Source organism: Homo sapiens, chromosome 6, assembly GCF_000001405.40.
Source record: "Homo sapiens chromosome 6, GRCh38.p14 Primary Assembly".
NCBI classification, from domain to species: domain Eukaryota; kingdom Metazoa; phylum Chordata; class Mammalia; order Primates; family Hominidae; genus Homo; species Homo sapiens.
In genome coordinates, this window is record NC_000006.12 from 6,292,466 (window position 1) to 6,314,052 (window position 21,587).

The window sequence follows — 21,587 nt, forward strand, 5'->3', positions numbered from 1 at the left end:
AACCCCGGTTCTCATCCTCTCTCTTCTGATCATCTCCTCTCCTATCCTGAATTACCCTGATTCCCTGAAGTGGGCCAGAGCAAGCTATCTCAAATGAGAATCATCCATGTCACTCCCACCCTGAAAACACCATCCAACACCGCCGCTGGCTTTCCATAAATGCTACTCAAGAAATAAGTGAAAGAAAGATATTAAAGTGTTGCTGATGACATTTCCATGTTTTATAGGGTTTGTGATGCAGAACATGTGCAGTTGACCCAGTCCTAGAAATGCTTGAGCGGGTGATGAACAACCTGCCTCAAGGCTGCCAGCATTAGGACAGCACTTTTATACTCACAGGATGGCCCAGCTAGGGGGGATGCCCAGCACACATGACTGCGGGTCCACCAGCACCCACTTTCAGCTCTGCCCCATCCCTCTCCTCTGAAGAGACTGGAAAAAGGGAATACTTTCACAGCTTGCCTTACAGCTAAGGGTAGCAAATGAAACATAAACGATTGCCAGAAGTGCCTGGGAAAGCTTTTGTTTTCCTGATAAGTGGGGTGGGGCATGCTAATGCCATCCTTCTCCTCATCTTTCTGCTGTAACCAGAAATGTGAAGCTTGAATCTGTGAGGGCCATCATAGAATTGAGGGAAAGGTCAGGAGAATCTCCAAAGCGCTGACCTGGACACCCCCAGGTTCCTGTGGTTGAACTCCAGGGAGAAAGAAACTTGCTCATGGACCCTACTGTCACTTCGGAGGGCTCCTCAGGGAGTGAAACCTCTGCCGTTTTGAGGGGGAGACCTGGTAAGAAATACAGCTTGGGATTTCACCCTCAACTGGGTATCAAAAAAGCAGGGGCCCATGTCAAAGTAACAGCAAATTAACACCAGAAGCTGCTCCCAAGCTTTCACAGTCTCAGCCACAGGTTAGTAAAACCTGTGATTACCACTCCCCTCCTTGCCTTTCATGATTTGTCGAGGCTGCAGGCTCAGAGGTGAGAGAGAGAGAAGGCCCTGCAGACTCCCAGGGCATTTTTCAGCCACACCCACCTCCTCAGATTCATTAACACCTCCCACCTAACACAGAGATAGCTGTGCTCTGCCAGCAACTCATGAACGCAGTTATCAAAGCACAAAGAACCCCTGCAGCACAGCTCATCAAGCCGTGGCCAGGTAAGGCAGTAGCTCTCCTGCTCACCTTCTCTACTCAGAGCCCAGCACACCATCCAAGAGCCCTATTTATTTAAATATTTAGAAAGAAAGAAGGAAGAAGGAAAGAAGGGAGGAAGGGAGGAAGGGAGGGAGGAAGGAAGGAATGGAGGGAGTGAGAGAGAGAGGGAGGGAGGGAGGGAGGGAGGGAGGGAGGGAGGGAGGGAGAGAAGGAAATTGGTTAGAAGGCAGAATCACATAAATAAATCCCATGACCTAGGTTCTGAGAACAGCAACATAGGGAAACTCCAGTGTACTAACATATCTCAGCTCATCTATACAGGCACAGGGAATGAGAGAGCAACCTCAACAAAAAAACTGAATGCAAATTGGAAGCAACTAAGTATAAAGTTATTTTTTCTGTATTTTAAATATAATAATAGCTTGCTTTATGAAACAGCTATGTTTTTACCTATATAACAAACCTGCACATTTACCCCCGAACCTAAAAAAAAAGTTTTTTTAAGTATATAGTGAGTGTGATGGTTAATACTGTCAACTTGATTGGATGGAAGGATACAAAGTATTAATCCTAGGTGTTGCCAAAAGAGATTAACATTTGAGTCAGTGGGCTGGGGAAGGCAGATCCACCCTTAATCTGGTGGGCACAAGCTAATCAGCTTCCAGTGAATATAAAGCAGGCAGAAAAACTTGAAAAGGAGAGATGGGCCTAGCCTCCCAGCCTACATCTTTCTCCCATGCTGGATGCTTCCTGCCTTTGAACATCAGACTCCAAGTTCTTCAGTTTTGGGACTTGGACTGGCTCTCATTGCTCCTCAGCTTGCAGACAGCCTATTGTGGGACCTTGTGACCATATAAATTAATACTTAAATAAACTCCCCTTTATATGTATATACACACAACACTCACACACACACACACACATATATATATATACACACACGTATATGTACAAACACACACACACACATATATATATCCTATTAGGTCTGTCCCTCAAGAGAACACTGACTAATATAGTGAGTGACAGTAAGTCAATCTTTGTTGGTAAGTCTCTTGTTATAAACACTCTTAAAGATGTACTGGTAGAGATTCTTTTTTTTTTAGTCTTTTTTTAAAAATTTATTTATTTATTATTATAATACTTTAAGTTTTAGGGTACATGTGCACAATGTGCAGGTTAGTTACATGTGTATACATGTGCCATGGTGGTGCGCTGCACCCACTAACTCGTCATCCAGCATTAGGTATATCTCCCAATGCTATCCCTCCCCCCTCCCCCCACCCCACAACAGGCCCCAGAGTGTGATGTTCCCCTTCCTGTGTCCATGTGTTCTCATTGTTCAATTCCCACCTGTGAGTGAGAATATGCGGTGTTTGGTTTTTTGTTCTTGCGATAGTTTACTGAGAATGATGATTTCCAATTTCATCCATGTCCCTACAAAGGACATGAACTCATCCTTTTTTATGGCTGCATAGTATTCCATGGTGTATATGTGCCACATTTTCTTAATCCAGTCTATCATTGTTGGATATTTGGGTTGGTTCCAAGTCTTTGCTATTGTGAATAATGCCGCAATAAACATACGTGTGCATGTGTCTTTATAGCAGCATGATTTATAGTCCTTTGGGTATATACCCAGTAATGGGATGGCTGGGTCAAATGGTATTTCTAGTTCTAGATCTCTGAGGAATTGCCACACTGACTTCCACAATGGTTGAACTAGTTTACAGTCCCACCAACAGTGTAAAATTGTTCCTATTTCTCCACATCCTCTCCAGCACCTGTTGTTTCCTGACTTTTTAATGATTGCCATTCTAACTGGTGTGAGATGGCATCTCATTGTGGTTTTGATTTGCATTTCTCTGATGGCCAGTGATGGTGAGCATTTTTTCATGTGTTTTTTGGCTGCATAAATGTCTTCTTTTGAGAAGTGTCTGTTCATATCCTTCGCCCACTTTTTGATGGGGTTGTTTGTTTTTTTCTTGTAAATTTGTTTGAGTTCATTGTAGATTCTGGATATTAGCCCTTTGTCAGATGAGTAGGTTGCAAAAATTTTCTCCCATTCTGTAGGTTGCCTGTTCACTCTGATGGTAGTTTCTTTTGCTGTGCAGAAGCTCTTGAGTTTAATTAGATCCCATTTGTCAATTTTGGCTTTTGTTGCCATTGCTTTTGGTGTTTTAGACATGAAGTCCTTGCCCATGCCTATGTCCTGAATGGTAATGCCTAGGTTTTCTTCTAGGGTTTTTATGGTTTTAGGTCTAACGTTTAAGTCTTTAATCCATCTTGAATTGATTTTTGTATAAGCTGTAAGGAAGGGATCCAATTTCAGCTTTCTACATATGGCTAGCCAGTTTTCCCAGCACCATTTATTAAATAGGGAATCCTTTCCCCATTGCTTGTTTTTCTCAGGTTTGTCAAAGATCAGATAGTTGTAGATATGTGGCATTATTTCTGAGGGCTCTGTTCTGTTCCATTGATCTATATCTCTGTTTTGGTACCAGTACTATGCTGTTTTGGTTACTGTAGCCTTGTAGTATAGTTTGAAGTCAGGTAGTGTGATGCCTCCAGCTTTGTTCTTTTGGCTTAGGATTGATTTGGCAATGCGGGCTCTTTTTTGGTTCCATGTGAACTTTAAAGTAGTTTTTTCCAATTCTGTGAAGAAAGTCACTGGTAGCTTGATGGGGATGGCATTGAATCTGTAAATTACCTTGGGCAGTATGGCCATTTTCACGATATTGATTCTTCCTACCCATGAGCATGGAATGTTCTTCCATTTGTTTGTATCCTCTTTTATTTCCTTGAGCAGTGGTTTGTAGTTCTCCTTGAAGAGGTCCTTCACATCCCTTGTAAGTTGGATTCCTAGGTATTTTATTCTCTTTGAAGCAATTGTGAATGGGAATTCACTCATGATTTGGCTCTCTGTTTGTCTGTTGCTGGTGTATAAGAATGCTTGTGATTTTTGTACATTGATTTTGTATCCTGAGACTTTGCTGAAGTTGCTTATCAGCTTAAGGAGCTTTTGGGCTGAGACAATGGGGTTTTCTAGATATACAATCATGTCGTCTGCAAACAGGGACAATTTGACTTCCTCTTCTCCTAATTGAATACCCTTTATTTCCTTCTCCTGCCTAATTGCCCTGGCCAGAACTTCCAACACTATGTTGAATAGGAGTGGTGAGAGAGGGCATCCCTGTCTTGTGCCAGTTTTCAAAGGGAATGCTTCCAGTTTTGGCCCATTCAGTATGATATTGGCTGTGGGTTTGTCATAGATAGCTCTTATTATTTTGAAATACATCCCATCAATACCTAATTTATTGAGAGTTTTTAGCATGAAGGGTTGTTGAATTTTGTCAAAGGCCTTTTCTGCATCTATTGAGATAATCATGTGGTTTTTGTCTTTGGTTCTGTTTATATGCTGGATTACATTTATTGATTTGCGTATATTGAACCAGCCTTGCATCCCAGGGATGAAGCCCACTTGATCATGGTGGATAAGCTTTTTGATGTGCTGCTGGATTCGGTTTGCCAGTATTTTACTGAGGATTTTTGCATCAATGTTCATCAAAGATATTGGTCTAAAATTCTCTTTTTTGGTTGTGTCTCTGCCCGGCTTTGGTATCAGGATGATGCTGGCCTCATGAAATGACTTAGGGAGGATTCCCTCTTTTTCTATTGATTGGAATAGTTTCAGAAGGAATGGTACCAGTTCCTCCTTGTACCTCTGGTAGAATTTGGCTGTGAATCCATCTGGTCCTGGACTCTTTTTGGTTGGTAAGCTATTGATCATTGCCACAATTTCAGATCCTGTTATTGGTCTATTCAGAGATTCAACTTCTTCCTGGTTTAGTCTTGGGAGAGTGTATGTGTCCAGAAATTTATCCATTTCTTCTAGATTTTCTAGTTTATTTGCATAGAGGTGTTTGTAGTATTCTCTGATGGTAGTTTGTATTTCTGTGGGATCGGTGGTGATATCCCCTTTATCATTTTTTATTGTGTCTATTTGATTCTTCTCTCTTTTTTTCTTTATTAGTCTTGTTAGCGGTCTATCAATTTTGTTGATCCTTTCAAAAAACCAGCTCCTGGATTCATTAATTTTTTGAAGGGTTTTTTGTGTCTCTATTTCCTTCAGTTCTGCTCTGATTTTAGTTATTTCTTGCCTTCTGCTAGCTTTTGAATGTGTTTGCTCTTGCTTTTCTAGTTCCTTTAATTGTGATGTTAGGGTGTCAATTTTGGATCTTTCCTGCTTTCTCTTGTGGGCATTTAGTGCTATAAATTTCCCTCTACACACTGCTTTGAATGCGTCCCTGAGATTCTGGTGTGTTGTGTCTTTGTTCTCGTTGGTTTCAAAGAACATCTTTATTTCTGCCTTCATTTCATTATGTATCCAGTAGTCATTCAGGGGCAAGTTGTTCAGTTTCCATGTAGTTGAGCCGTTTTGAGTGAGATTCTTAATCCTGAGTTCTAGTTTGATTGCACTGTGGTCTGAGAGATAGTTTGTTATAATTTCTGTTCTTTTACATTTGCTGAGGAGAGCTTTACTTCCCAGTATGTGGTCAATTTTGGAATAGGTGTGGTGTGGTGCTGAAAAAAATGTATATTCTGTTGATTTGGGGTGGAGAGTTCTGTAGATGTCTATTAGGTCCGCTTGGTGCAGAGCTGAGTTCAATTCCTGGGTATCCTTGTTGACTTTCTGTCTCGTTGATCTGTCTAATGTTGACAGTGGGGTGTTAAAGCCTCCCATTATTAATGTGTGGGAGTCTAAGTCTCTTTGTAGGTCACTCAGGACTTGCTTTATGAATCTTGGTGCTCCTGTATTGGGTGCATATAAATTTAGGAGAGTTAGCTCTTCTTGTTGAATTGATCCCTTTACCATTATGTAATGGCCTTCTTTGTCTCTTTTGATCTTTGTTGGTTTGAAGTCTGTTTTATCAGAGACTAGGATTGCAACCCCTGCTTTTTTTTGTTTTCCATTTGCTTGGTAGATCTTCCTCCATCCTTTTATCTTGAGCCTATGTGTGTCTCTGCATGTGAGATGGGTTTCCTGAATACAGCACACTGATGGGTCTTGACTCTTTATCCAATTTGCCAGTCTGTGTCTTTTAATTGGAGCATTTAGTCCATTTACATTCAAAGTTAATATTGTTATGTGTGAATTTGATCCTGTCATTATGATGTTAGCTGGTGATTTTGCTCATTAGTTGATGGAGTTTCTTCCTAGTCTTGATGGTCTTTACATTTTGGCATGATTTTGCAGTGGCTGGTACTGGTTGTTCCTTTCCATGTTTAGCGCTTCCTTCAGGAGCTCTTTTAGGGCAGGCCTGGTGGTGACAAAATCTCTTAGCATTTGCTTGTCTGTAACGTATTTTATTTCTCCTTCACTTATGAAGCTTAGTTTGGCTGGATATGAAATTCGGGGTTGAAAATTCTTTTCTTTAAGAATGTTGAATATTGGCCCCCACTCTCTTCTGGCTTGTAGGGTTTCTGCCGAGAGATCCGCTGTTAGTCTGATGGGCTTCCCTTTGAGGGTAACCCAACCTTTCTCTCTGGCTGCCCTTAACATTTTTTCCTTCATTTCAACTTTGGTGAATCTGACAATTATGTGTCTTGGAGTTGCTCTTCTCGAGGAGTATCTTTGTGGCGTTCTCTGTATTTCCTGAATCTGAACGTTGGCCTGCCTTGCTAGATTGGGGAAGTTCTCCTGGATAATATCCTGCAGAGTGTTTTCCAACTTGGTTCCATTCTCCCCATCACTTTCAGGTACACCAATCAGACGTAGATTTGGTCTTTTCACATAGTCCCATATTTCTTAGAGGCTTTGCTCATTTCTTTTTATTCTTTTTTCTCTAAACTTCCCTTCTCACTTCATTTCGTTCATTTCATCTTCCATCGCTGATACCCTTTCTTCCAGTTGATCGCATCGGCTCCTGAGGCTTCTGCATTCTTCACGTAGTTCTCGAGCCTTGCTTTTCAGCTCCATCAGCTCCTTTAAGCACTTCTCTGTATTGGTTATTCTAGTTATACATTCTTCTAAATTTTTTTCAAAGTTTTCAACTTCTTTGCCTTTGGTTTGAATGTCCTCCCGTAGCTCAGAGTAATTTGATCGTCTGAAGCCTTCTTCTCTCAGCTCGTCAAAGTCATTCTCCATCCAGCTTTGTTCCGTTGCTGGTGAGGAACTTCATTTCTTTGGAGGAGGAGAGGCGGTCTGCTTTTTAGAGTTTCCAGTTTTTCTGTTCTGTTTTTTCCCCATCTTTGTGGTTTTATCTACTTTTGGTCTTTGATGATGGTGATGTACAGATGGGTTTTTGGTGTGGATGTCCTTTCTGTTTGTCAGTTTTCCTTCTAACAGACAGGACACTCAGCTGCAGGTCTGTTGGAGTACCCTGCCGTGTGAAGTGTCAGTGTGCCCCTGCTGGGGGGTGCCTCCCAGTTAGGCTGCTTGGGGGTCAGGGGTCAGGGACCCACTTGAGGAGGCAGTCTGCCTGTTCTCAGATCTCCAGCTGTGTGCTGGGAGAACCACTGCTCTCTTCAAAGCTGTCAGACAGGGACATTTAAGTGTGCAGAGGTTACTGCTGTCTTTTTGTTTGTCTGTGCCCTGAGGTGGAGCCTACAGAGGCAGGCTGGCCTCCTTGAGCTGTGGTGGGCTCCACCCAGTTCGAGCTTCCAGGCTGCTTTGTTTCAGTAAGCAAGCCTGGGCAATGGCGGGCGCCCCTCCCCCAGCCTCTCTGCCGCCTTGCAGTTTGATCTCAGACTGCTGTGCCAGCAATCAGCGAGACTCCGTGGGCGTAGGACCCTCTGATCCAGGTGCGGGATATAATCTCCTGATGCGCCGTTTTTTAAGCCTGTCGGAAAAGTGCAGTATTGGGGTGGGAGTGACCCCATTTTCCAGGTGCCGTCCGTCACCCCTTTCTTTGACTCGGAAAGGGAACTCCCTGACCCCTTGCACTTCCTGAGTGAGGCAATGCCTCGCCCTGCTTCGGCTCGCGCACAGTGCACGCACCCACTGACTTGTGCCCACTGTGCGGCACTCCCTAGTGAGATGAACCCCATACCTCAGATGGAAATGCAGAAATCACTGTCTTCTGGGTCGCTCAGGCTGGGAGCTGTAGACCTGAGCTGTTCCTATTCGGCCATCTTGGCTCCTCCCCCCGAGATTCTTTTAAGTGCCCTTTATTTTTAACAAAGTATTTATTCTCGTCTGTTTTTTTTTTTAATTTATGTTACATTTTGGTTCACTTTTAATAGTAAATGATATCTCAAATGTTTAGACATTTAGCTGATTGTAAAACGTTAGCTAAAATGGATCTTCTCTTGAAATGGTGTTGCCAGATTTTTAAAAATGAATAGAAATTATATTCTTTTTCGTTTTTAAACCATCACTTTTACCTTCTGAGTTTCTGGAAATTGAGGTGCACCTGTATATAGAAACCTTTGCACTTAATTTCATTTCTAGTTCACGTTCTATACTTGTCTCTTCTCATTATAGCAATTAGCCTTAAAATCTAATTTCCTTGGCTTTATTCAGTCCTATTGAAACAGGCACTGAATTTTAAGAGAATTATTTCCCCAGCAATGTTCTTTTTTCTTCCTGTCTTACAACTATGGCAGCCATGAAGTTGAGGCTCTCATGTAACTTCCTGAATGATGTGAGATGCAGAAATGACTCTGATCAAGATAAATCCTCTACCATGGGTCCTTCCACGCCCCTCGAAGTGTGCTTAATTTCTACACTAAATAGTAGAGTGTGGAATTTTGTCACTTGCCTTTCTTGTATCTACAACAGGTTGGGCAATGAAACATCTTCAAATGTGTGTGACCTATAATAGAAAATCTTCAAATACATGTGGCCCTGTAATGGCCCACACATACTAGAATACAGCTTAACTCTGAACGCACACATCATGGGTTCTGAAAGGTTTAGAATACATGTTGGTTTAAAAATATACAGATTTTATCTCAAAAACAAATTAGCTATGCTTTTCCCCCTCTTTTATTGAGGGAACAAAAGTAATAGTATTTCTTGTGTAAAAAAGAAAAGAGGACTTAAAATGTTCACTGTAATGGATGCTGTGGTGGGCTGCCTGGACCTTTCCCATTGTTGGGAGTGTTGGTGGCTGACAATTCTCATTCATTTAGTTGCTTTCAGGGGTTACCCTCAGCCACAGAGAACCAATTACACCAAGGCTGTAACCCCAGTCAAGGTATAAAAGGTATAACAGGCCCATGCCCTTGGCTCAAGGCGAGACAACTCTGAAGATCCAACCCATAGCTAGAGTTCACCTTGAGATCCACGGGGGCCCTGTCTGCACTGCAGTTCAACTCCTCCCTCTGTCCAACAGTGATTCCTCCACTCCCTTGCAGATGTTGATCCTGAGAGATCTCCCCAGTAAACTTTCTGCGCACAAGTCTTCTTCTCAGAGTTTATTTCCTAGTAACCCGATCTAAGACATTCATCTTACCAGTTTTTCTAAGACTTCCATTATCATAATTATTTTCTGAACGGCCTATGAGAGTGTTTCAAACCTCAGACAAGTCCAATTCAGAATTGAAGCTTCCCTCTCCTCTTCTCCCCACCCTAAATATTTGGCTTTAAAGATGGAGATAAAACTTCCCTCATAATTGCAGCAGAACTGTGGTCCAGAGCTTCAAACGTGAATTTGTTGTCATGCACGGGATGTAATATGTTGTTAGGCAGGTGATTTTGTCATTGTGTGAACATCATAGAAACAAAGATGGTACAGCCCACTACACACCTAGGCTATATGGCAGAGCCTACTGCTGTTAGGTTACAGACTCATAGTGTGTTTTACTGTACTGAATACAGCACTGCAGGCAATTGTAACACAATGGTAAGTATTTATATATAAACATAGAAACATTTATATATAAACATAGAAAAAGTACAGTAAAAATACAATATAAAAAGTAAAAAATGGTACACCTGCATAGGACACTTACCATGAATGGAACGTGCAGGACCAGAAGTAGCCCTGGGTGAGTGGTGAGTGAATGCGAAGGCCTAGGTCATTACTGCATGCTACTGTAGACTTTATAAACACTATAAACTTAGGCTACAGTACATTTAAAAAAATAAGTAATCTCACTATTCTATTATGATAGCTATGACATCACTATGTAACAGGAATTTTTCAGCTCCATCAGAATCTCATAAGATCACCTATGCATGATCTGTCATTGACTGAAATGTTGCTATGTGGCACATAACTGTACATGGTTCTTGCTTTCTTCTACAGTGTCAGAGTTTCCAGTTTTTAGTTAAGTCTGTTAAATTTCCTCAAAAAATTGTCTTTTTTACATTAATACTCATTCCATCTGAGATTTACTACTGTATATGGGACAAGATGAGGGTCAATTTTTAAACTTTCTTCCAGTTGGAGAGTCAGTTATTTCTGCATCATTTATGTAAAAACAAACAAGCAAACAGATAAAATCTCATATGGTCTTCTTACTTCATGAAACCAACAATCATATTAACTCATATACTGAAATCCATTTCTGGATTCTCTATTATGTCCTACTAAATATTTTTCATAGTATGTTCTGATAGCCGCTTCAGAAAGAAAATACTCTTACTTATTATTTCTTTGTATGATTTCCTTGGTTATCACCAGGTAATTATTATTTCAAATGAACTTTAAGATTATTTTATACAAGTCCAAAAAACCAAAACCAAAGCCAAAGACAACTCAAAACTCCACTGGGATTCTAATTGGAAATGCATTAAATTTACATATTAATTTTGGGAGGCTTTTAAAAATTGACAATCATAATTGTATATGTTTATGGGGTTTTGGGATGTGATGTTTTGATCAATATGTGATGTTTTGATCAAAATATACATTGTGGATTGATTAATTCAAGCTAATTAACATATTCATTCCTTCACATACCATTTCTTTGTGGTGAGAATATTTAAAATCTACTCTTTTAGTAATTTGGAAATATACATTATTATTAACTATAGTCACCATGCTGTGGAATAGGTCACTAAAACTCATTCCTTCCATCTAACTGAAATTTTGTATTCTTTGACCAACCCCTTGGGAGACTAAAAATGTATACAGAAAGACTTCCCACTCAAGAACATGTTTGACTTTTCATTGGTTTCTCATGTTTTTTATTAAGATTTAATAGCTGGTTTATATAGGTTGCGTGTTCAGGTTTTAGTCCTACATTTTATAGTTTTGGTCATGTGAAATTTTTTTATGTCTATTTCTGGGTGCTTAGTGCTGGGGAAGATAAAAGTTATTGATTTTTATATATTTATCTTCTATCTAGCCAACTTACAAAGTTTTATTAATACAGTGCTTTTTTCCCTTGAATCTGTTGGGTTTTCTACATACACAATCATAGTATTAGCAAATATATAGTTTTACTTCTTAGTTTCCAGCATTTATAGCAGATGTATCTCTTACATTGTTCATTTACTAAAACCTTTAAAGTACTTCTTTTTAAAAAGGGAATGATGATAGCAGGCATTTCTTTCTAATTTCTGATTACAGTGAAATTTGTTAACTTTTTTCCACTTAGATATCAAAAGTTGTTGTTTTGATGTAAGCAATCTTTATTATCATTGAGGTGTTTTTTTTCTAAATTTTTCCCCTTAAACTCTTCCTAAAACTGGATGCTGAATTTTACCATGTACCTTTCTGTGACTGCTGATTTGATTGCCTAATTTTTTCCTTTAATTTGTGCATAGGATTATATGGGCAGATTTCCTATGTTGTGCCACCCCTGCTTCTCTGTGCATGTATTTCCTTGATAATCTTATAAATTCCTATAGAAATGTTTACCAAAATGTGTCAAAAGTTAATAGCTATAACTTAATAAAAGGGTTCCATGATCAAATTAATTTAAGAAGCACCAGACCAAAGTTAAATGGTCCTTCCCCAGACCTTTGAAGCTAATGTGCATCGTTAATCTTCAAGAGGAGGTTAAAGGCTGGGCATGGTGTCTCATGCCTGCAATCCCAGCACTTTGGGAAGCTGAGGTGGGTGGATAACTTGAGGTTAGGAGTGCGAAACCAGCCTGGACAACATGGTGAAACTCTGCCTCTACCAAAAATACATAAAATTAGCTGGGCGTAATGGTGTGCAACTGTGGTCCCAGCTACTCTGGAGGCTGAGGCACCAGAATCGCTTGAACCTAGGAGGAAGAGGTTGCAGTGAGCTGAGATCACACCACTGTTCCAGCCTGGGCAACAGAGCAAGACTCTGTCTCAAAAAAAAAAAAAAAAAAAAGGGTGATTAAAGTACAAAGTGTTTAGTGAAGTTTATTGGACTATATTTTTCACGGGCCATCCCATGGGACTAGATCAGAGCAGAATCAACTTTCGGAATGCATACTTGGATTGCATGCTAAGATTTACAAACATTTTCAGCACGAGACCAATTAAATCATGGAGATAAAAGTTAGAATCATAGGATGCCAAAACCATTTGTTTGAGGAAGAATAATTTAGTTAAGCAACACATTATACCAGTTTTACTTTTATTTATATGAGATTTTCTCCTTGGGTGGGCCCAAGTTATCAATATTTGGCACTATACAGACCAGTCTTAGAGCACAGGGTAATTCAGGGGCTGGATGTCATTCCAGCTCCTGCCACTGTTGACATATGACACTAGGAAATCACACAACTGTGCCTGTACCCACCTCTCTCTACAATGCAACCCATGGTGTCAAGACTGGAGCTTGCACATGGCACTCACCAATGACGTATTCCACCCTGAAGAGATCCCTTCTGGGGTCATATGGACGACTGAAGTCAATCTGCACATAGAAAGACTGCCCTCTGCGGACAATCAGCTTGTTGTTTTCATACTTGTCAGTGTGGTGGTCCACCTTGTTAGTGTCCCATCTCTCCTTGAACAGGTGAACGCTCGTGACATTAAGAAACTCTATGAACAAGAAAAACAAGGGTTGAAGAAAATAATCAACTAACTTTAGTTTAAACATAAACTCAAAAACAAGATTATTTTCCCTGAAGAAGGCAGGTAGCAAGGTCTGCTGAATGAAACTCTGTAGGAGGCAGGGGTAGGGGAACACAGTCTCGAGAGTCAGCCTCTTGTGACATTCTTGTTTTTGAAGAGAGCTTTTTAAAGCTTTTTCCACCTTTGATCTCGTTTCAGACCACAAGGCACTCACTGTGGGATAGATGGATGCCTGTCTGGGAGATCCAAATACAGAGAAGCTAGGGCCAGAGTTGAAGTCTTCAGGTTCTCAGTCTCACGCTAGTTTTCGTTATGTTAGAAGCTTCCCATCATGTCACTGCCTCACTCTGTGACTAACCAGGCAGAAGCAGGGAATAGCCACTTCAATTTTCTTATCTTTCCAAAGGAAGGAATCAAATCTGACAAAGCCTCAAGGGGACATTCGAAGGACAAAGTTAGCCATTAATCTAAAATTCTCCTTTTACCTCAAAAAGGGTCAAATGCCTCCTCCCTCTGTAATTCTAAAAGTAGATCTCATCCCTCAAATGCAGGAAAGAGAGGGAGCAGGTCTGGAGAAAGGACACTAAGATTTCCATGAGATAAGTGTGATTGTTTTCAGTGACACAGAAACTATCCTCAGCTTTCCTTAGCTACTAATGGGCCAGTTCAAAAGTCAAAACCTGGACTGTCTGATGCCAACATTCACAGGTTTTTCTTTTGATTTGTGGCATCAGGAGTGTAAACGTAAATCACATGTTTCTTAGTTGTCTAACTTTGTATGTGTGACTTAAATTCATTTCTTCATCATAGAATGGAGACACTAATATTCATTTCATAGCCTAACATGTTCCACTTCTTACAGGAATGTGACAGGAGACGGCATGAGATGACACGTATGCAAGCATTTAGCAAAGGGTCTGACACATGAAAGTCAGCTCTCTTCCTGCCCTTTTCCCCTTCCCCTCTATGAATGATGACTGAAAGTGGGGGTCATCCTAACTCCCTGTCCTCACTGTACTTTAGAAGATCTAGTCTAGAGACTGGTTTCTGCATGTGCATTTGGCATTGTAAAGAGTTATTGGGGAGAAGGTGGGGTGGGAGGGTAGAAGGGTCGGCAGGGGTGCCCTGGCCTCTTGCCCTCCCCCTCCCTGCCCCTGCCTGATGCATGATTTGCCTTCATGGCTATAAGCACCATGTGCGCAGAAAGCACAGTTGCTGAGCTTGTACCCATGCCGGGGCATCTCCTGCCATAGTCGAATGGCTTCCTTTACCTCCACACATAAATCCTGTGCAGGATGCCTGGTCCCTTTGGACCCCATTGTGTTCCATAGTCAAAACCAAGAAGTTGGGCTCTTTAAGATCCTCTTCGGTCCTAAAGTCCAGGAGTTCCTGAAACACTGCTGAGCAATTCAAAGTTCAGGCAATCCTGAGTTTGAATCTCAGGTGTCAAAATTACTGCGTTAAGGTACTTTACCTTTCAGAATCTGAATTTTCTTATTTTAAAATGAGGATACTAATACCCTGAGAAGGTCTATGAAGGCTCAATGAGATAACGGTGCAGTGGGTCTGGCACTATGCCTGGCACATAGTGGGTCCTAGGCTTACTGTGGCTCACTGCCCCTAAACTGTGACAGCCATTTCACAGGGCGTGGTGCTCCCCGGGTTACCCTGACTGCAGCATTACGGCAAGCAGAAAGTGCAGGATGCAGTTTTATTTTTACCTCTTCTCAGAACCCTGTTGTATACATGTTCCCCTGAAGGGCACTTTCTTTCCATTATGCTGTGAGCTAAAGATGTTTAATTCTCTAGACCTCTCTATTCCAAGCTGCCTTTCTCCTAAGTCCTCTGGTCTTATTAAGACCACAATCCCCGTGATAAACCAGCCCAAGAATGAGCTGGAGGAGCACAAATGTTCCTGTTGAAAAGGAGCTTAGCAATCAACTCCTCTGGTCCTCTTTCTTAGCACAGGGGCTTTAAAGTTTTTTTTTTAAAAATAGCTAAACACCAAAGTCCTTAGAAATGGGTTTCATCAGTTCTCCGTTTACCAGCACCAATGGAAGGAATATACTGATATTACATCCTTACAGAATCTCACAGAACAGCAATAGCATTTTCTCAGCCATCTGGTAGAACTACTATACCCTGCATGAAACATTTTCATGAGAGCCCTACTACTTGGGCTTCTAGCTTCCATTTGAACAGGGAACTCATTTTTTCATAGGGCAAACAGTCCATTTTTAAACAACTCTAATTATTTGAAAACTTCTCTTAAGATAAACTGACATCTGCTTCCTTGTAATTTTTCTAACCATGGGTCCTCGTTCTGACTTCTAGATAAATATAGAATAAGTCCTCTTATTCATTTTAGCTGGCACTCTCTAGGTATTTAAAGACTGCTCATAGGATTTTTTTTTTTTCTGAGTAAAACATTCTTCATTTATTTAACTGTTTGCTTGTTTGAAACAGAGTCTTGCTCTGTTACCCAGACTGGAGTGCAGTGGCGCGATCTCGGCTCACTGCAACCTCTGCCTCCTGGGTTCAAGCAATCCTCCCCACCTCATCCTCCTGAGTAGCTGGGATTGCAGGCACTCACCACCATGCCCCGCTAATTTTTGTATTTTTAAAAAATTTAATAGAGACGGGGTTTCACCATGTTGGCCAGGCTGGTCTTGAACTCCTGACCTCAGGTGATCCGCCGGCTTGGCTTTCCAAAGTGCTAAGATTATAGGCGTGAGCCATCACATCCAGCCTATTTAACTGTTTTTAAGAAGTTATTTCTAGAACTTTTATCCAACGCTCTGTTTTGGAATATTTTCCACTTTGTCAATTTCTCTTTTGAAGTGTTATTTTCTGGAATTAAGTACATTACTCTAGTTGTGGTTTTTCTGTAAAAAAAAAAAAAAGAGACCATTACATCTTTTAAAATAAACAGTCTATTATTTCAAATCAAGATATTGTCAGTGTCTTGGATACTCTTAACTCACTGTTGATTTATATTATGCATCTGATAAAGCAAAACCCTTAAAACACATTCTTTTTTTTTTTTTTTTTTTTTTTTGAGGCAGAGTCCTGCTCTGTTGCTCAGGCTGGAGTTCAGTGGTGCAATTTCAGCTCACTGCAACTTCTGCCTCCCGGGTTCAAGCAATTCTCATGTCTCAGCCTCTCAAGTTGCTAAGACTACAGGCTCACACCACCATGCCTGGCTAATTTGTTTGTTTTTGTTTTTGTTTTAGTAGAGATGGGGTTTCACTATATTGGTCAGGCTGGTCTTGAACTCCTGACCTCAGGTAATCCCCCTGCCTCAGCCTCCCTTAAAACACATTCTAATGTTATTTCTAGCAACAATGGATCAAAATTCAGTTGAGGCCCCTACAAGTCACCCACTCATGTTGCTATTTGGCTATATTTATTTGTGCAATTGTTTTCTTCTGTTTAGTTCGATATTAAGACTTTGCATGGGTTAAATTTCTTCTTATTGAATTTGGCTCACTGTCCCATGCTCTTAAGATCATTTTAACCCCTAAGTATGCATTTAATATATTTAATATTCTCCCTAGCTTCTTGTCCTCTGGGAATGTTATAAGTGTGCTATTTTATGTTGCCACTCAAGACATGGGTATAAATGTTGATTAGGCAACTGTCTAATAACTACTAACTAAGTAAACGCACAGCAGTAGATGCTAAAATGTGGACAGATAATTATGACACAGTGTCAGACATCTCTGACAAAGGAAGTAAAGAGAACTGAGGGGAGTATCAGGGAGGAGCCCCTAACCCACATTTAGGGGGTAGAAAATAAGGAATTTCTCTGAAGGAAGTGAGACATAAGCAGTGAGCAAAAGAGGAGTCAGTTGTCCATGTGGAAAGGGGGGTGGAGAGGAATGCTTCAGGCGGAGAAAGAAGGATAGGTGAAGACTGAGGCAAGAGAGTGCATAGTTGCTTAAGAAATTGAAAGATGATGGTTGGCTGAAATGTACTAGTGGGAGCCACGGTGGAAGAGTAAGGAGGAGCCTGCTCATCACACGAGCCTTGGAGACCATGCGAAGGAGTTTGGGTTTTAATTGCATGGTGGATCCAGTGAAGAATCTGAAACAGCAAACTGACATGATTAGATTTATATATATATTGAAACTGCTTCTGGTGGCAGAGTGGAAAAGGGATTGGAAGGGGCAAAGCTGGAAGCTGAACCCAGTTAAGAAGCTGTTGCAGTGTTCTGGGTGAGGGGCCACGTGAGTTTAGCCTGCATGTAGGGGTTCAAGGCACTGCTCCTCTGGTACTCCTGGATTTGCCTTCTCTATTCCTACCCTCCCTCCCTGCATGATAATGTGTCCCTGAAATGAGTCCTGCCTTGGCTTCCCAAGCAGCTCTACCTACAAGGCAAAGTAAGGCTGGAGACGGAGAAATATTCGAGTATTTCTTTGGTATCATTGGTATGTCTCATCCATCCTAGTTCTCATTGCAAATGAAAACCTGGCTTTCCAGCTTTACCTCCTAGCCTAGTGTACCTGGTTAATGTCTAGTGAGACTGGTTAGAGTCAGTCCATCATGGCATAGTGCTAGTTTTATGGGATATTGACAGGTATTGGAAGAATTAGAGCTCCATGTTTAAACCAGTGTGGAAAATGCTGGCCTAACCAAAGCTGATCAGGATTCTTTACTGAAGCATTCATGTGAGACTTTAATATGCTGATGTATACCACAGATATCTCAGAGGGGCAATGGTTTCCAAATGTAAATGACTATGGAAACTTTTTTCTTTGGAGATCTGCATTTTTCAGAATATGTTTTTGGAAATGCTTCACTACTTACTTATTGTGCAGCCTCAGAAAAGTTATTTAATCTATCTGAGCCTCAGTTTTCTTATCTTTAATATGGGAATGAAGTACCTATCTTATAGAGTGGCTGACACCAAGTACATTCTTAATAAATGTTTATTATTATTGTTGTTGTTATTATTATTAAGAGAAGTAGAAGAGCATAGTAAGAGCATAGACTGTGGAGCTAGGCTGCCTGAACCCAAATCCCAACTCTCACGTACTGTCTTTGTGACCTTGGCAAGTTACATAAATGTCCTGTGCCTCAGTTTTCTCATCTGCAAAATGAAGTTGGTGTGAGGATTAAATGAGAAAATGCACCGAGTGCTCTATCCTAGGGCCTGGTACATGGTAAATGCTCAGAAATTGATGGCAATAATAATCATAATAGCACTGAGCATTTGGATTGGCCCTTAGGACCAATCATTAAGTAGTCAGGTATCTGAGAAGGCATGGTGTGAGGCTGGAATCTGAGCAATGGAAGTCACAAGGTAAAGAAGGTCCCTGGGAAGCTTTTTAGCAGTGGCCTTCCAGCCTTCCCAGGGAAGCATGCCATTTTATACTCCTTATCTTCTGAGCAGACAGGCTTGCTTTGAATTTCCACAGGTAAATAGAAAGCATTTCTCCTCTTGATTCGCAGGAAACATCTGTCTTTTTTTTTTTAAAAAAAAGTATCATTGTCTCTTTGTATTATCTTTATATAGGTGATTTTTTAGCCATGGGATTGTAATCCCCTTGAAGACTGGACCATGTCTTAATTATCTTGCTATAGTGCCTGGGGCAGTGTGCAGAAATGCCACAGCAAATATGCCTCCTTTCACCTGAACACCTTTTACGTGAAAATTTGGAGCGTAGAGTTGATCATTCATTTCAAAATAAATTATCTCATTTACTGTAGGATTAACCATAGGTGTCCTTTAAATGTCATTTACCATTTTATTCTCAAAATATGCTAGTTTCAGGACATATATATAGTTGAAGGTATGATGTGGGAATTTATAACATAAGACCTCCAGATCAGCAGTTTTGTTTCACATTGGAATAAAATACTGTCTTTCTAGCCTGCTTATATGTTGATAACAAAGGGTGAGAAAAAGGGTGCTGATTAATGCCTTTGAGAATAGAAAACCTAAGTCAAAAAAAAAAAGACAAAACCCCAGCTCATGGGTTTATAGTTTTTCCATAGTGTAAACAAACATACATATATATCATGAATATATATGTTTATATATAATATATAAAAACATATATTGTTTATATATTATATATTGTTCATATAAATTATATATATTACATATGTTTATATTATATAATGGATATAAACAAATAATATATTACAAATATATATTATTTATATATTATATATTACAAATATATATTTATATATTATATATTATTTATATCTTTATATATTATATATTGTTTATATATAATAGATATAAGCAAACTATATATTTGTTTATATATTTGTTTGTTTTCACTATGAAAAAACTATAAACCCATGAGTTTGGTTTTTAAAAATATATTGTTTACATATATAATATATAGTTTTTATATATTATTTATGTATATATTGTTTACATATTATAAACAATATATTTATATATGATATGTGTATATATATTATATATAAGCAAACTTTTTATATATATATAAAGTTACATATATATAAAGTTATACGTATAAAACAAAATTTATTTCATTGCCCATGAGTCAGCCACCCACAGGTCAACCAAGTATTTGGTTCTTATGACAGCTGATAGTATCAATTGTTTTAAATTATATCATCTATACTGGTATACTTTAGACATTTAATTCTAAGCATGATGTTTTCTAACATGTTACTTTTTCTAAGTGATCTTTTGATTCTCTGTTGCAATATCACTTCAACAAGCCAATGCCTCAGGAAAAACATAAAATCACAGTGGTACTATAAGTGGGGAAAAACTAAGGCAGTGATAAGTAAAACTTTCCTGTATAATCTCTTAAAAGTGCGTCTTGGGGGCCGGGCGCGGTGGCTCATGCCTGTAATTCCAGTACTTTGGAAGGCTGAGGGGGGCGGATCACGAGGTCAAGAGATGGAGACCATCTTGGCCAATATGGTGAAACCCAGTCTCTACTAAAAAAAAAAAAAAAGAAAAGTTAGCTGGTCGTGGTGGCACGTGCCTGTAGTCCCAGCTACTCGGGAGGCTGAGGCAGGAGAACCGCTTGAACCCGGGAGGTGGAGCTTGCAGTGAGCCGAGATCGCGCCACTGCACTCCAGCCTGGGTGACAGAGCAAGACTCCGTCTCAAAACAAAAACAAAAAAAGTCTGTCTTAAAATGATTTAAACAAAGAAAGACATTTCATAAAAAATAAAATAAAACTTGGCTAAGAAGGGGAAGATTAAAAGCTACACAGAGAGGTTGAGAGTTTAAAGAAATAATGTTCCAGACTGTAGTCAAATGGAAAAGACATGAGCAAGCTTAATGGGTTGTCCAAAGTATTGGGGATAGAGGTGAGGTCCCCAATACCACTGATTCAACAAAATTTATTTCATTGCCCATGAGTCAGCCACACACAGGTCAACCAAGTATTTGGTTCTTATAACAGCTGATAGTATCAAAGACTCTGAAGATGACTGTATAAAATATGAACATAGACATAAAAATATCATTGTTCATTCCATTGTCCATTTTGCCTAGGAAATGTCCCTTGCCATGGAGTGTGTTCCAGCAAGCATTGATGAATCTAGCATATTGATTTTTGCTTTGTTTACTGGGTTAACAAGGCAGTTTAGATGGAAAAAGTCTTATCATCATCCAGACTCCGTTTGCCACAAACAGGAAATGAATTTGCTTCCCCTGTCCAAGCCTAGTTCCTGGCAAAATGGAACAGCTCATTGCTAAGCCGCCTTTTTTTTTTTTTTTTTTTTAAATACGGTAGCTAGAAACTTGGCAGCTCGCTCTTTCAAAGTGACAGCTTTCAAACTGTCTACCTAACACAATTTAGCCTAATTCCAAACATATCGGAAAATGGACTGTTAAAGAAAAGAAAAAAATCTCCGGAGGAGCAACTGCCTCCCTGTCCTCCTACTTTTTGTCTAATATGAACAAAATGTAAATTATTGTCTCCCTAGGTTGTAAAATATTCTTCAGAGAATGATTATACCTGTCACAGATGGGATCTTGAAATAAGTTAAATGTTTAGGTTTATATACTAGGAATTCCCTAGTGAACTGAATTCTCCATGCAATTTTTGGTAATATTGTTATTGAACTATAAGCATAAATGCTATCCATGAGAAACTGATTTATTTAAAAAAAAACAGGAAAAATAACTCTTTCTCACATTTCTTTTGGGTACCCAGAATTTTAACATGTCCTTAATTAGAATGATTAAAAGCATTTTCTTAAGTGGCTTAATTTATAAAGTGTTGTTATTAATACATCCTGGAACCTATAATGTTGAAGGATTGCTCAGGTGCTCAGAGGAAGCTGGAACAAGAGAAATGAGCCCCATACCTCCAGGGGCTAAAACCCCTCTGGTCTATTCCTCTTCTAGCCTGGAGTATCTCTACAGCTTCCAAACATATCTCCTGTTCTCCATTTTCTCCTTACTCTTTTTTTTTTTTGAAACGGAGTCTTGGTCTTATCGCCCAGGCTGGAGTGCAATGGCACAATCTCGG

General features: G+C 39.9%; 1 protein-coding gene and 1 long non-coding RNA gene across 2 annotated transcripts in view; one reads left to right on the forward strand and one right to left on the reverse strand.

Moving 5' to 3' along the window:
• The window catches only part of F13A1 (coagulation factor XIII A chain), a 176,579-nt gene that overhangs the window by 148,382 nt on the left and 6,610 nt on the right, over positions 1 to 21,587 (reverse strand). Inside the window, exon 3 of the mRNA NM_000129.4 lies at positions 12,886 to 13,074. Coding sequence (NP_000120.2) covers positions 12,886 to 13,074 — 189 coding nt within the window. The remainder of the gene's footprint in view (positions 1 to 12,885; positions 13,075 to 21,587) is intronic.
• Positions 1 to 21,587, forward strand: part of LOC124901253 (uncharacterized) — a 44,281-nt gene that overhangs the window by 6,579 nt on the left and 16,115 nt on the right. The window lies entirely within an intron of this gene.